Below are 14,242 nucleotides of genomic sequence, written 5' to 3' on the forward strand. Positions count from 1 at the left end.
ATAAATGCAAATAGACTTATAAGCTGATTATTTCTAATTTATATGTGTTGAATTTATTTTCTTAATTACTGAAAAGATTAAAAAGCAGAAGGATGCTTCATAGTTGACGGAACTTCATTGCCATAGTCATTTGACTCACAGCCTGGGAGAAAAATGTATTCTTCTTCTAGGTTGATTTTCTAAGATCACTATCAGAAGGCCAGGCTACTTCAGGAATCAAGTCAAAATTAAAAACACATGCATTTATGTGATACCTCTTGAGAACGCAAGTTGCTGTACAAACACATTTAAAGCATTAAGTGCTCCCTGATGCCCTTTCCTCAGAAGTAGTACTTCCAGAAAGGAGAGTGCATTTAGGTAAAACCAATGGCAGGTTCTATGCAATGATATCAACATGGCTCAACCTCTGAGTGCCAGAATTTGCTTCTCATTAGATACAACTTTTCTGGAAATACAAGAGAAGGTAAGTTGATTTCCAAGTGAATTCAAGCCTATGAATTCACAGGTTCATAGCTGTATTACATTACAGAACCTTTCAATAGGAGGAGCTTTCAGGAAGCTTGTGGTTTCAGTATTGGTGGCCTGTAGGGGTCAGTTGTGTTTTTTGTTTGCTCAGCATCCATTCCTCCTACTTCTGGTAACTAAACTTGAATTTTCCTTGGGAAGCCATTCTTCCACACTTTCAACTGTGGGATTTGGGGGAGGCTGTGTTCACCCCCAGCTCCAGAAGAGAACATGGAACCAGCCAATGTGTTACATGCCCTGGCTACGGCCACACATTCAGGAGAAAAGCAAGTTACCCAACTAAGCTCCTGACAGGGCGCGGTAACTCATGCCTGTAATCCCACCACTTTGGGAGGCCGAGACAGGTGGATCACTTGAGGTCGGGAGTTCAAGTCTAGCCTGGCTAACATGGTGAAACCCTGTCTTTAATAAAAATACAAAAAAATTAGCTGGGCGTGGTGGGGTATACCTGTAATCCCAGCTACTCGGGAGGCTGAGGCAGGAGAATTGCTTGAACCCAGGAGGCAGAGGTTGCAGTGAGCCAATATCATGCCACTGCACTCCAGCCTCGGTTACAGAACGAGACTCTGCCTCAAATAAATAAACAAATAAATAAATAAATAAATAAATAAAAACTTAAAAAATAAAAACTAAGCTCCATTCTAGAGCTTTTCTTAGTATTATTAGGAAAGAGAAAGCCTTTTGTCTGCTGAGACTTTTCACTGTGAGAATGAAATTCTGATACCATCAGAAGGATTATCTGAGAATGAAGACATGCAAAGAAAAGAGCTGAGAAAGAGAAAGGGGAGAATCCTGGTGACAGTGTTTGAGTGCCTGGATCCAGCTATACCTGAAAATCAGACTCATCCCTGGATTTTTGGCTTCATGAGCCAATACATTATCTCTCCCTCTTTAAGCTGATTTGAATAGTGCTTCAGCACTTGCAGTGGAGAAATTCCTGACAAGCAAATTGGAATTTGAAAACATAGATCAGAAAAAGAGCCAGAAGGGCCGGGTGCAGTGGCTTATGCTTGTAATCCCAGCACTTTGAGAGGCTGAGGTGGGTAGATCACTTGAGCCCAGAGTTCAAGACCAGCCTGGGCAACATGGTGAAACCTGTCTCTACAAAAAAAACAAAACAAAACACACACACACACACACACACACACACACACACACACACACACACACACACACAAATTAGCTGGCTGCGGTGGTGTGCACCTGTAGTCCCAGCTACTCGGGGGAGAAATTGAAATGAACCAGAGGCCAAGTCTCAGTGAACTTCTCCAGTGCTTTAAACCTCTCTATACTTGACTGAGGGAGAATTCTGATAGTATTTGCGATTGAGCCTGGGAGCTCCACAATTATATTGTTCAATTGGTGCAGACTTTCATTCAGTAGAGTTACTGAGTGCCTGTGCATGCCATGTACCAGCAAGTGGACAGGCTTTCTCATTTTCAGGAGGGGTTGCTTCTAGTCCCTGGTCAGCCCTTCTTCACCCTTTGGGGCTACACCATTGCCTTCTGACCCAGCCTGAATACTTCTGCCAAGTGATTCTTCCCAAACACTGCATTCCATTCTCATTTCCCACTTCAAGGAACTTCAGTGGTTCCCTAAGTTTTCATATTGAATCTATTCTCATCTGCTCAGTCCTTAATAAAACTAATAATAAAAACTAAGTTTAAGGCACTTACAATGGGCCAGGCATCATGCTTACATTTCATAGGTTGCTCAGTTCATCTTCAAAGTGACACTATAAAGCAGATATCAATCTTATTCCTATATTTTTTGGACGAGGAAACCAATGCACAGAAAGATTAAGTAACTCACTCAAAGTCACATGGTCAATATGTGGTGATGGAGTCCAAATGCAATCCTGTCCCTCTGGATCCAGACTCCATGCTCCTCCCAGAAGATTCTACTGTCTCAAAAGCTCTCCCACAGTCTGCTCCATCTCTATCTTATTTCCCACAACTCCCCAGTTTCCACGGTTCAGTTAGGCTGGTCTTACAGCTATGCCCACCATTACCTAATTTCATTGTCTTTGCTTTTTTTGTTTAATCATGCATCCATTCATTCAACAAAGCGTGGCTGATCTTACACTATGCTGATAATTTCATTATTATCTTTGCTCATTCATTCATTCATCTAGCCAGTGAATATTTACTGAGCCCCTGCCCCGGCTGCTCAGATCACCGCCCTGACCCAGAATGTTCTCCTCACCTACCACCTCTCCAAATCCTATCTTTTTTTTGTTTTTGTCTTTGTTTTTTGTTTTGTTTTGTTTCTCTGTGATGGAGTCTCGCTCTGTTGCCCAGGCTGGAGCGCAGTGGCACAATCTTGGCTCATGGCAACCTCCACCTCCTAGGTTCAGGCGATTCTTCTGCCTCAGCCTCCTGAGCAGCTGGGATTACAGGCATGCGCCATGACGCCTGGCTACTTTTTGTACTTTTAATAGAGATGGGGTTTCACCATGTTGGCTAGGCTGGTCTTGAACTCCTGACCTCAAGTGATCCACCCACCTTGGCCTCCCAAAGTGCTGGGATTACAGGCGTGAGCCACTGTGCCTGGCCAATCCTATCTTTCAAGGCTCTGCTACAGACCCTTCCTTTCATGTATCCCACCTTAGCCAATGCAGCTGGCATGGCCCCTCTTTCCATGAACGCTGCGGGCATGGAAGGACATGACATAGTTTAGCATTCAATTTCACAGCAGCCTGGCAAGGTCTCACACTGTCTTATCTTCCCATCAGAAATTGGATGCCTGACCAAGCCAGGGCACATGCTCCTTCTGTATCCATCAGTCTTGAGTGTACATTAGGCATCCAAGAAACATTCTTTCATCCAGTTGTTCAGAGAACAAATGTGGTCCAATAAAAATACAATGGTTTAAAAAATGGCCCTTTAAAAAATATTACGAATCTGGGTTCTCTTTCTTTGCCCTGGAATTCACCTAAAGTTTATGATAGTCTTGTGAGGTAGGTATTATTATCTCTATTTTACAGATAAGGCAGAGACTCAAAGAAGGTGAGTAACTTGGCCAAGTTCACAAAATGGATAAATCTCAGAACACAGGCTCCCAACGACTGCACCATGTTGCCTCCACAGTCCTTGGACAGTTCTCCCGAATGAACAAATATTGAAAATTCATTGTTACTTCTGTGACTAATGGACTTTCACAGCAAATATGCTTGGCCAGGACCTTGTACCCTGACATTTTTCTTTTATTTCCAGGAATGGAAACCCACACTGCTGTTGTGAAGACACCTGATGAAACTCCAGCAACTTCTACATCTGGCCTGCTGCTTAGTCCTGGGACCTGAGGTCAAAATCTTAGAAAAGAGCCATGTGAGATGCATTCCCTGGCCTCATCTCTGTTCTTGGATGCTGTCAGCAACACTCCTTGAGTTTTTACCCACATAATAACACTTTCCTCAGCATGGATGTGGAGGTGGGGGTGAGGAATGTTCTATTTTTCCTTCGATGGTTACGCCCTCACCCTACCAACTCAGTAAAAGGGGAGTGGTCAGGGAGCGTACTGAGAATGTGTCCTAGCATCTTTTCTTCCCTAGCACAGCCTTCATATGACCCAGCTGCCATGAGAAGCTTGCCTCCCTTCTAAGGGAATTACCCCTGCCTTCCACTCCATCCTCACCTTGCCCTGCCCAGATTAGAGGCACGGAGGCATGTACCACAGGCCTGAAAAACTGTCCAGCCAAAAAGCCTGACTGCCTTGAGTACTATCAGGGTGTAGTTATGGACGTGCCTGTTTCTGCTCTTCCCTCTGCATTAGTGCTCTGCAAAGGGTGGCTCTTACCCTCAGATGGTCCAGAGGTAGTTTGGGGTGTGCATGGATCACCTTCACTCTTCAGAGGCAAACAGACAATGCTGCTCTTCTCCAACAGCCTCTGAAGGACACCACCTACTGACTGGTTCTGAGATGTTTGCTGCCCCAGAGTCTCCCACCTGCTTCTTCCTCCCCCTCAGTCCTTTTTTGTAGCCTCTCAGCCTCCCTTCTCTTAATGCTCTTAGCACCCTTTCCTGGGTCTCTATTTACCCTGCCCTCCCTTTCAGCAACTCCTTCCCAAACCACTGCATACTTCTCCTTTCTTTCCAATCCCTCCTCCCTTCCCAGCACTTTCGCCCTCCATTGAATCCCTCAAGCCTCATTCTGGCCCCACTCCTCCCCTCACCCTCTATCCCTGCCCTCCTCAGATCTGCCAAACACCTCAGGCCTGGCTGCCTCTGTCCTGTTCCTACCAACCTTCTGACCATGCCTCTGTGCTCCTTGGGACCTGGGCTCACATTTTCAATCTCTTCTCTCCTATTAGTACAGCTCTGTCTAGAGCCATGGTTCTTCTCTACCTTTCACAGCTGTCTTCTTTCCCACTTATATGAGTTTCTTTAAGTGTGAAAATTAAAAAGTGCCACTTAAATACAATGATTAAGTCATAATAAACAGTACAAGTTGTACTTATGTGAGACATACCACCCATACACGTTTGATCTTCGAGAACCACATCTCAATCTGCCCATGGCCCATTGCCTGACACTAAAAGATGCTCACAAGAAGTTGACTATAAACTAACTTCTTGGTCTAAGATCCTAAACTCTTGAGAGGGAAGGTTTCAATACATATGAAACCTTCTTGGCAGTGCAGGGATGAGGAGAGTAAAACTGAAATGAAAGTCAGCAAATAGTGAAGGTGTGAAATAGGCAGTGACTCTCACACTGAGACCTCCAGGGGATGTTAAATTTTCATTTCGAAGCTGATAGTCTTATCTGGGAAGCCTAGAGAGTAACAAAAGTTGTAGGCATATACTTATATTAGAGTGGTGCAAAAGTAATTGCTGTTTTTGCCATTTAAAAAAAAAATGCAAAAACCACAATTACTTTTGCACCAACCTAATAGCAAGCAAGGGGAGGAATATGGAGAGAAAATCAATTTCTAAAATGAAAAATAAAAAATTTTTTGCAAGTAGGACTTGCAAGCTCATTCTAGGCCTTGCTCTGGGAGCTTTTCGGTAACTTCTCTTCCTGTTGGAACAGAAGAAGGAAACCTTCAGGACAGAAGATTCTGTCCCCCTTCCCCCTCCTGATGTGAATGAAGTCTCATTACACTCTAAAGTACTGGCGGGACTACTTGTTGCAAGGTTTATGGGGAAAAGTAGCCAGAGAGCAATCCAGTTATCAGCCTCAGCCCCATTCCGCTCAGGTACAGCTCGGGAAGTAAGCCCCCAACCCTAGTTGGGTCTGGACCAACAAGACACGAGGAGGCAGCAGCCCACAGCCGACCCCTCATGCCACGCACTGAGCAGGGTTCCGCATGGACGCTGGTCTTGCCTCCCAGGCGCCTGAACTAGCGGAGTTGGGGTATCGGGTGGAGTCTCGGAGAACCAATCCAATCTGAGGGGGACGCCTGTGGGAGTCCTAAGTATCCAGCGCAGCTGGGAGGCCCACGTTGGGAAGTCGGAGACCGACCCCGCCTCCCGACTGCGCCGACTGCAAGAGAGCGCTTCCGGCGGCGCTTGGAGGCCGAGCAGTTGGGGGCGGGGCTCGTGCTGTGACGCAAGCCTCGCCTCGCCCCGCGCCGCGCGCGTTGCCAGGGTGATCAGGTGACTCCCGGTTCGCGGCGCTGGGAGCGGCCGTGACGTCAGGCGCCCGGCTGCTCCTCACTTGCTCTGAGACAGGTGCGGCAAGTCTACTGCGGGCTGGTCCGGGCTCCTCAGGTTCAGACCCGACCGTTATCCAGTCGGTTCGTGGAGAGGAGAGGTGAGGTGCAGCGGACCTGGCCCGACCCAGCTGGGACCAGGGCGGGGATCAGGCACGGACAGGGCGCGTCCCCGGGCTCCCTGGGGAGCGCCCTGAGAACTGGGGGGCACCCGGGCTGGCCTGGCTCAGGCAGGGGTTCGCGCAGCCCCTGGGGAGGGGCAGGGAGGCAGGGAAGCTGCTGCCGCCAGCTGGATCCCTCCCGGCGCCCCGCGGCTACTCTGGGGCTCCTGGTCGCCGCGCCGCGCGTCTCGGCGGTGGACTCACAGGGTCTCCGCGTCGCTGCGGTTCTCGTCTCACGAGGAGTCGGCGGGCTCGGAGCGGGGCTCGCCACACCCCGTCCCGGGGGACGTCCGCGGGAGGCTTCTGGATTTCTTCGCCTTGGGCTGCGATTTCTGAGGCGCTGCTCTGCCTATTCCGAGCTGGGCCAGCCGGGGGCAGGGGGCAGGTCGCGAGTCCCGCGGGTGGGAGCGGAGCGGAAGTAACTAGTGACTGGAAGTAACTAGGGAACGCAAAGCCGGCGCTCGGAGGCCGGGGTGTTCAGAGAAGGCGTTGCGGGGGAAAGGAATCCCGGCTGCTGTTGAGAGCCGTGGATTGGGATCTGAGCGGACCTGTTGGAGGAAGTGAAATCTGAGCGGGGTCCTGACGGGTGGGAACTAATCTCCCGGTAGCAGTGGAGGTTGCAGGGGGGAGAGAAGGAGGGGAGGACCCCTGGGGAAGGAGACCATGAGGAAAAACGATTTGGGGACTGACTGGACCGTCTGCTGGGCTGTTTTGGGGGAAAAAAAGTTTGGAGAATTAGGTTAGGGAGGATTAGGAAAGGACCCTTGAGTGCCCACCTGAGAGGCACTGTGTGCTGTGGGGAGCCATTGAAACGTTGGCTAGATTGGGGTAGGGGGAACACTGAGGAAGTTGGTGTGAGGGGAACACTGAGGAAGTTGGTGTGACATTCCGGCAAAAAGGTGACAACACTCTTCTCTGATGGGATTCCTCAAACCCTGCTTATGAAATACTTGTAACCGACAAGGGTAGGGGCTCAGGCAGCCAGGTGCCTTTTTCAGCCATTGTTGGCAAATTTTTAGAAATTAAACAAAAAATAATTGTACATATTTATAGATTTATACAATATGATACATGTAAACTTTGTGGAGTAACCATGTTAGCAGATTTTTAAAAATTCCTTTTTATGAAAGGACCCACCCAAGGGCAGCTCATTTTCGAGTATCTCATTTGACGGGATTTAATGACTGGTTGGGAGCTATGCCCCCCTCAGTATGCAGGGAGATTATAGCGTCCACAACACTTTGCCCTTCAGAGGTTTCAGAGTGACTTACAAACACCTTGTATCCCTAGGGTGAAACCCAAACCCCAAATGACTGGTAAGAGATTTAATAGGGGGAAGTTATTAAAGGAGAACCAGCATCCAAACATTCATGTGGGGCATTGGATTCGCTGAAAGGAGTCCCATACTATTTGTTGATTGTAGATCAAAGATCTCTAGACCTGGCCTGGTGCGGTGGCTCACACCTGTAATCCCAGCACTTTGGGAGGCCGAGGCGGACGGATCACGAGGTCAGGAGATCGAGACCATCCTGACTAACACGGTGAAACCCCGTCTCTACTAAAAATATAAAAAATAAGCCGGGCGTGGTGGCGGGCGCCTGTAATCCCAGCTACACGGGAGGCTGAGGCAGGAGAATGGCGTGAACCCGGGAGGTGGAGCTTGCAGTGAGCCGAGGCTGCGCCACTGCACTCCAGCCTGGGCGACAGAGCGAGACTCTGTCTCAAAAAAAAAAAAAAAAAAATCTCTAGTCCTTTCCTGCCAGCTTTGAGTTTCTCCGTGTAAGGCTGCGTAAGTGTTAGTTGGCTATTTTGTCTTAATTTCCTGAGCAACAGGAAAAATATATTTTGGTTATATGAAGAGGAATGCTTTGGTAATTTATGATTTTTCCCAGCCCTGAAATTTATTGGTGCTAGGACCAAAAATACACAGCTGTCTATTTTATTTTATTTATTTGTTTATTTTTGAGGCGGAGTCTTGCTCTGTCGCCCAGGCTGGAGTGCAGTGTCGAGATCTTGGCTCATTGCAACCTTTGCCTCCTGGGTTCAAGAGCTGTCTATTTTATATTGAAACTTACCAAAGTCTGTTTTCTGGGAGGTAGTGAAATTATTTTGTATTTCTTTGACTCCAGAAAACAGAATTGGACCTCCAGGGATCCTGTACAGTGAAAGGCAGGTTTGGGAATTGCGAAGGAAGGTGGCCGCAGCTGGTTTGTGCGTAAATATAGAAACCGGTGCAGCACTCAAAGGAGTGCAAATCCAGGGTGAGACCTGGGGAAACGGGACTTCCAGTCAGATCAGTGAAGTCATTCTCTGTAAAAGAAGCCCCGAAGTGTGTAAAAGGCCAGAGTAGTTTTTTCCCCGTGTGTTCCTGTTGAGTGGTAGAGATTATGATAGTGATTTTTAAGGGGCTTTGCAGGAGCTTGTTAATATTAAGAATCGCTGGAAATCAGATGTCTTGGCCTCATTAAAAAATTTAGAAAAGTAACTGTTTTCCAAATCTCTTTGATACTATTTGAAGTGGCCAACTAATTATGGTTCCTTTGGAAAGAAACAGTCCACCCCCTCCTTTCCCAAACAAAATAACTATGTGCTGTCAGGGCAGTTAAGTAGGCCAAAAGTTTTTGGAAATTTTCTGCTTTCATTCACCCAAGCCACCCCCACAAGTTTTCTCATTGGTAGAGAACTTAAGACTTTACTGTCAGGAAAAAAATGTTAGTGTGTTTCCCTAAATACAAACTATAATAAACAACAGGGCTGGCCTTTAATAGAAATGCTCTTTCTTAAGGGGGACTGGGCTGAGGTGAAAGGCAGGGCTGGGGTATGGGCTGGAGCATTTTGAGCTCACATTTGTCAACTAAGGCCTTGAGCAGGGCACTCCTTTCTTGGCATGGAAACTTTCTTTGACCTTGAATGCGGGTCAGTACCTCCTCACAGAGGTACCAAGGAGAATTAATGAGAGGCTTATATGAAATTTGAGCTCCTCCAAAGCAGAATATTTTAATTCTTGGATGAATGGTATATTTTGAGATGTGATAAAAGTTTTTTAAAAGAGTTTGAAGTTCTAAGTTTTTGGAAAAGCCCTATTCAAGTCCTTCCTTTTTTTTTTTTTTTTTTTTTTTTTCAGAAACAGGGCTTGCTATGTTGCCCAGGTTGGTCTCTAACTCCTGGGTTCAAGTGATCCTCCCACCTCAACCCTGTGAGTAGCTGGGACTACAGGCGACCATGCCTGGCTATCTAAGACCTTTTTGCTGATTTGGTTTTTTTAATTTTTTTGAGACAGGTTCTGGCTCTGTTGCCTGGGCTGGAGTGCAGTGGTGTAATCGCAGCTCACTGCAACCTCCACCTCCTGGGCTCAAGCCATCCTCCCGACTCAGTCTCCTGAGTAGCTGGGACTACAGGCCTGCACCACCACACCTAGCTAATTTTTTGTGTTTTTTGTGGAGATGGAGTTTTGACATGTTGCCCAGGCTCCCCTCAAACTCCTAGGCTCAAGCAATCTGCCTGCCTCAGCCTCCCAAAGTGCTGGGATTACAGGCATGAGCTACCATGCCTGGACTTTTTGCTGGTTTTTTGTTTTGTTTGGCTTTGTTTTTTCCTGGGGTTTTATGGGCTTGGTTACTAATCAGCCTGTAATCAAGATCTGAGGCCCGGTGCGGTAATCCTAGCACTTTGGGAGGCTGAGGCAAGAGGATCGCTTGAGCCCAGGAGTTCAAGACCAGCCTGAGCAACACAGGGAGACCCCATAGCTACAAAAAATTTTTAAAAATTAGCTGGGCATGTGGTATGTGCCTGTAATCCTAGCTACTCAGGAGGCTGAGGTGGGAGGATCGCTGGAGCCCAGGAGTTTGAGGCTGCAATGAACCATGATCACGCCACCGCACTCCAGCCTGGAAGACAGAATGACATCTTGTCGCTTAAAAAAAAAAAAAATGGCTGGGCACGGTGGCCCACACCTGTAATCTCAGCACTTTGGGAGGCCGAGGTGGGTGGATTGCTTGAGGCCAGGAGTTCGAGACCAGCCTGGCCAACATGGCGAAACCCTGTCTCTACTAAAATTACAAAAACTAGCTGAGCATGGTGGCATACGCCTGTAATCCCAGCTAAGTCGGGAGGCTGAGGCACAAGAATTGCTTGAACCCAGGAGGCGGAGGTTGCAATGAGCCAAGATTGTGCCACTGCACTCCAGCCTGGGAGACAGAGGAAGACTCTGTCTGAAAAATAAAAATAAAAATTTGGAAGCCTGAGGCTAACTAAATTCCTGTTTATATTTCATATATAAATAGTAAAGCTCAGATTGTTCACTCTCTTTTTTTTCTTTCTTTTCTTTTCTTTTGAGACAGAGTCTTGCTCTGTCTCCCAGGCCGGAGTGCAATGGCACGATCTCAGCTCACTGCAACCTCTGCCTCCCAGGTTCAAACGATTCTCCTGCCTCAGCCTCCCGAGTAGCTGGGACTACAGGCATGCACTACCATGCCTGGCTAATTTTTTGTATTTTTTAGTAGAGACGGGGTTTCACCACGTTGGCCAGGCTGGTCTCGAACTCCTGACCTCAGGTGATCCACCCGCCTCAGCCTCCCAAAGTGCTGGGATTACAGACGTGAGTCACCGCGCCCAGCCTCACTCTCTTTTTTCTTTTATTCTCTGTTAACCTGGTCTTGGCTTTTTTTGGAGTGCCTGGAGTAAACCAGTAACAGAAGGCTGTGGAACTGGCAGCCTATGACCCAGCATCTTTTTTAACAGCAAGAGTATTATCAGAAAGTGTCACAGCCCTCAAAGGAGTAAGTTATTAAGCTGGTCAGAGACAAAAGGGAGTAAGATTGTTCAGTAAATTGGATGAGGAGTGAAATAGTCATCTTTTAAAATTTCCCTCACCTGTGTCAGGCCACCAGTCCTGTCACTCAATCTAGTAGGATTCGAGTGCTTGCTGATGTGCCCAGGGACACTACGTACTGAACTACAACATCCATCTTTTAGACTTCTGACATTTGTTGGCCAGGTCAAGCTCTCTCTCATGAGGGAAATTCTGACAGAAAAGGCTTTCTGTTATCTGTAGGCTTAGCTGAGTGCCATGTTTCAGGCTTCCAAGCTCCTCACGCTTGGCCAAGGCTACTAATTGGCTTGGCTATAAAATGGGAGTCAGCAATTAAACAGCAGTAGTATAAAGCAAGGGAATTGAACATAAACTGACCCTCCCACTTTACAACCAAAAATGTTCACACCATTTTGGGCACTACACAAAGGAGTCTTCAAAAGGAAGTGAGCTTGGAATGATTCCTTTATAGCTTTTAGGAGATGTATGTGGAATATTATTATTGATTTAGGCCTCCAAGTCAGATCTTGGAAACTGGGTAGGTCCTCACATCTAAAGCAAAGGAGACAAATGGTTTGAATCCAGTCTCTGTGGGCAGCAAGCTTGTGGTATGACTTTGCCAAAACAACAGATGATTTATATTTTTCTAAACTCTTTTCATTAAATGGTTTAAGGGAGAATATTGATGGTCATGGTGGGAGGAGGGTTTGATCTACCTGAATTTACTCACTGAAGAGTAAATGCCTTATTCAGAGGTTCCTATCACTAGTTTCCTGATTATTTGTACTAAAGAATCATTAGCCAGTCTCAAGAGCATTGGCTCAGAAAACATCGTAACTGAAAACTATCTAGGCATGCTTCTTATTCAGAGAAAAGTAGGGATGGGAAACAGTTGAACTACAAAGACATTTGGGGAGAGGAAGACCTGGGAAATGGTGCTAGACTTCTGCCACGTTAAACGTTTAATGCTGCACGCAGTACTTTACTGGTCAGCTTTCAGTTTCAGAATCTTAGGCAGAGTCAGTTGGGGAGAAAGTGTGTGAAGAGGGGGACATTTGTAAGAATGTGGCTATTCTGTGAGCCCTTATTGTTAAGTCGAATACTTAGTGCTTTCCTGCTGCCACTAGCTTCCTGGACACTCCAGACTTTGCCCTTCTGCCTCTTCCCCACTAACAGCCTTTCCTCCCCAACACCACCCTCTCTAAAGCCAATCTAATCTTTGATCGCAGTTTCTGCACCCTTCTGGCTCTGCTAACTTTGTTGAACTAATTTTTGGTGGCCTTTAATGTCTGGTGGTGGCTGTGTGAGAAACTAATGAGGGATAATTGTATTTACTTACTGATTATTATTTTGCTTTAGGGACAATCTGCCAGACTGGAGTGCATGGCATGATCATAGCTCAGTGCAGGCTCAAACTCCTGGGCTCAAAAGATCTTCCCACCTCAGTCTCCTGAGTAGCTAGGACTACAGGCACATATCACTGTGCCTGGTTAATTTTTTATTTATATTTCATAGAGATGGGGGTCTCACTATGTTGCCCAGGCTGGTCTCAAACTCCTGAGCTCAGGCAATCCTGCTGCATGAGCCACTGCACCTGCAAGAGCCACGGGGGCCACTGCCACTGCAAGATAGCAGGACCCCCGTCTGTATTTTTTGCTATGTTGACTAGGTCTTGCTATGTTGACTAGGCCATTCTTAAAGTCCTAGCCTCAAGGGATCCTCCTGCCTCAGCTTCCCAAAGTGCTGGGATCACAGGCGTGTGACACCACCTTCGGCCGGGTAGTTGTATTTAAAGGGAGGGTCTTGAAAGTAAACCCTAGTGTTTTTCACACTTCATTTGTGTTCCCCTGCATGATTTTTGTCTTATCTTTATGTCATCTGTACTGTTGTTTAACATTCTTCTTAAAGTTGACCCATTTTTTAAAACCCTAAAATTTGTTTAAAAGGGAAACGATATCATTGCCTTAAACTGATAACTACTACATCACCTGTCACAAATAGAAGGTATAAATTATTGAAGTTGTTTGTCCATGTTCCCCAAGTTCCACATATCCCACCTGGGGCAATACAGCCTTTACCCAAAGATATGACTCACTAATAGTGAGTTTTTCAGGCAGCAGTAGATGGGTGGTAGGATGGTTTGGAGTAGGCAGGCCTTCAGAGAGGGCCCCTTCAATCCTATCTTTTCCTAAAACTTGTGTGGTTCTATGATACTAGGAAGGCCACAGAATGAAGAATCTAGGAGGTAACAAGAGGTAAATGCAATGTGAAACCACTTCTGTTTTGATCTGAAGTTTGCCAAAAAGAGGCCTGAGTGGTGGTGAGGCTGTATACTATATTAAATTCTAGGCCCTCTGCCAGGGGTGTGGCTTCATTGATGCTGTGTTACATTGTTCTTTCTGTGCCAGCGTGCTCTTAGAAAACTCAGATTCTCCTGGGAAACTCAGATCTTTCTTGGGGGGCAGGAGGGATGCTTTTTTTTTTTTTAACTCATCAATAACCCAAACTACTTTGAGTTCCTTTCACATATAGAGAACTGTTTGTGGATGTTGCTAATGATAGAAACTGAAGTTATCATCTAGAATTTTTTTCCCCCAATCTTCATTGTCCGTAAAGCCTATTCCTTTAAGAATCCTATGAAAACAGAAGAAAGGGGGAGGGTGAGCTGCCCTGGGTTGTATGGTCTCTTAGGGTGCAGCACATGATAGGCATGAGTGGTACTTCCTGGTTTGATGTGAAATTCACTGTTGTCCATTAAGAGCCACCCCGCAGTGCTGACTGAGCTGCTGCTCCCTCAGAGGGTCAGGAGAGCGTGCTTTCATGATGGAGCAAAGCCAGGCTGGCTTGGTATTCATCAGGAACCAGGAGCGCTTAGTTAAATTGCCAGCACGTTAAGCTGTAGGGGCCTCTTTCTAAATCATCAAGATTTCAACTTTCCCACAAAGCCTAATCTAATGCTCTGGGAGGAGGCAGGCAGAGCCTGTCTTTCAGGGGCTGGGCTGGCAGGGGACCTGGCCTGGGAAGTGGCCTTATCAGGCTTGTTGGGAGGGATGGACCTGTCCCTTTCTAGTGTGTCCTCTCAACTTGGCAGGGG

General features: G+C 46.8%; 1 protein-coding gene across 1 annotated transcript in view, besides 3 other annotated features; it reads left to right on the forward strand.

Annotated features, from left to right (window-relative positions):
• Positions 798–993: a silencer, noted in NCBI's record as "fragment chr5:139549390-139549585 (GRCh37/hg19 assembly coordinates)". NCBI's record gives its function as "represses an EF-1alpha promoter that drives an FKBP-Casp9 reporter gene in an ReSE screen in phorbol 12-myristate 13-acetate-treated (for megakaryocytic differentiation) K562 erythroleukemia cells {active_cell/tissue: K562(+PMA)}" and the evidence as "EXISTENCE:reporter gene assay evidence [ECO:0000049][PMID:32094911]".
• Positions 5,759–5,988: an enhancer, noted in NCBI's record as "active region_23262". NCBI's record gives its function as "activates an Ori minimal core promoter by ATAC-STARR-seq in GM12878 lymphoblastoid cells {active_cell/tissue: GM12878}" and the evidence as "EXISTENCE:reporter gene assay evidence [ECO:0000049][PMID:35858748]".
• CYSTM1 (cysteine rich transmembrane module containing 1) overlaps positions 6,181–14,242 on the forward strand; it is a 68,602-nt gene continuing 60,540 nt past the window's right edge. Inside the window, exon 1 of the mRNA NM_032412.4 lies at positions 6,181–6,278. The gene's annotated coding sequence lies outside the window, so the exon portion shown is untranslated. The remainder of the gene's footprint in view (positions 6,279–14,242) is intronic.
• Positions 6,279–6,568: a silencer, noted in NCBI's record as "silent region_16446". NCBI's record gives its function as "represses an Ori minimal core promoter by ATAC-STARR-seq in GM12878 lymphoblastoid cells {active_cell/tissue: GM12878}" and the evidence as "EXISTENCE:reporter gene assay evidence [ECO:0000049][PMID:35858748]".

This window comes from Homo sapiens, chromosome 5 (assembly GCF_000001405.40).
Source record: "Homo sapiens chromosome 5, GRCh38.p14 Primary Assembly".
NCBI classification, from domain to species: Eukaryota; Metazoa; Chordata; class Mammalia; order Primates; family Hominidae; genus Homo; species Homo sapiens.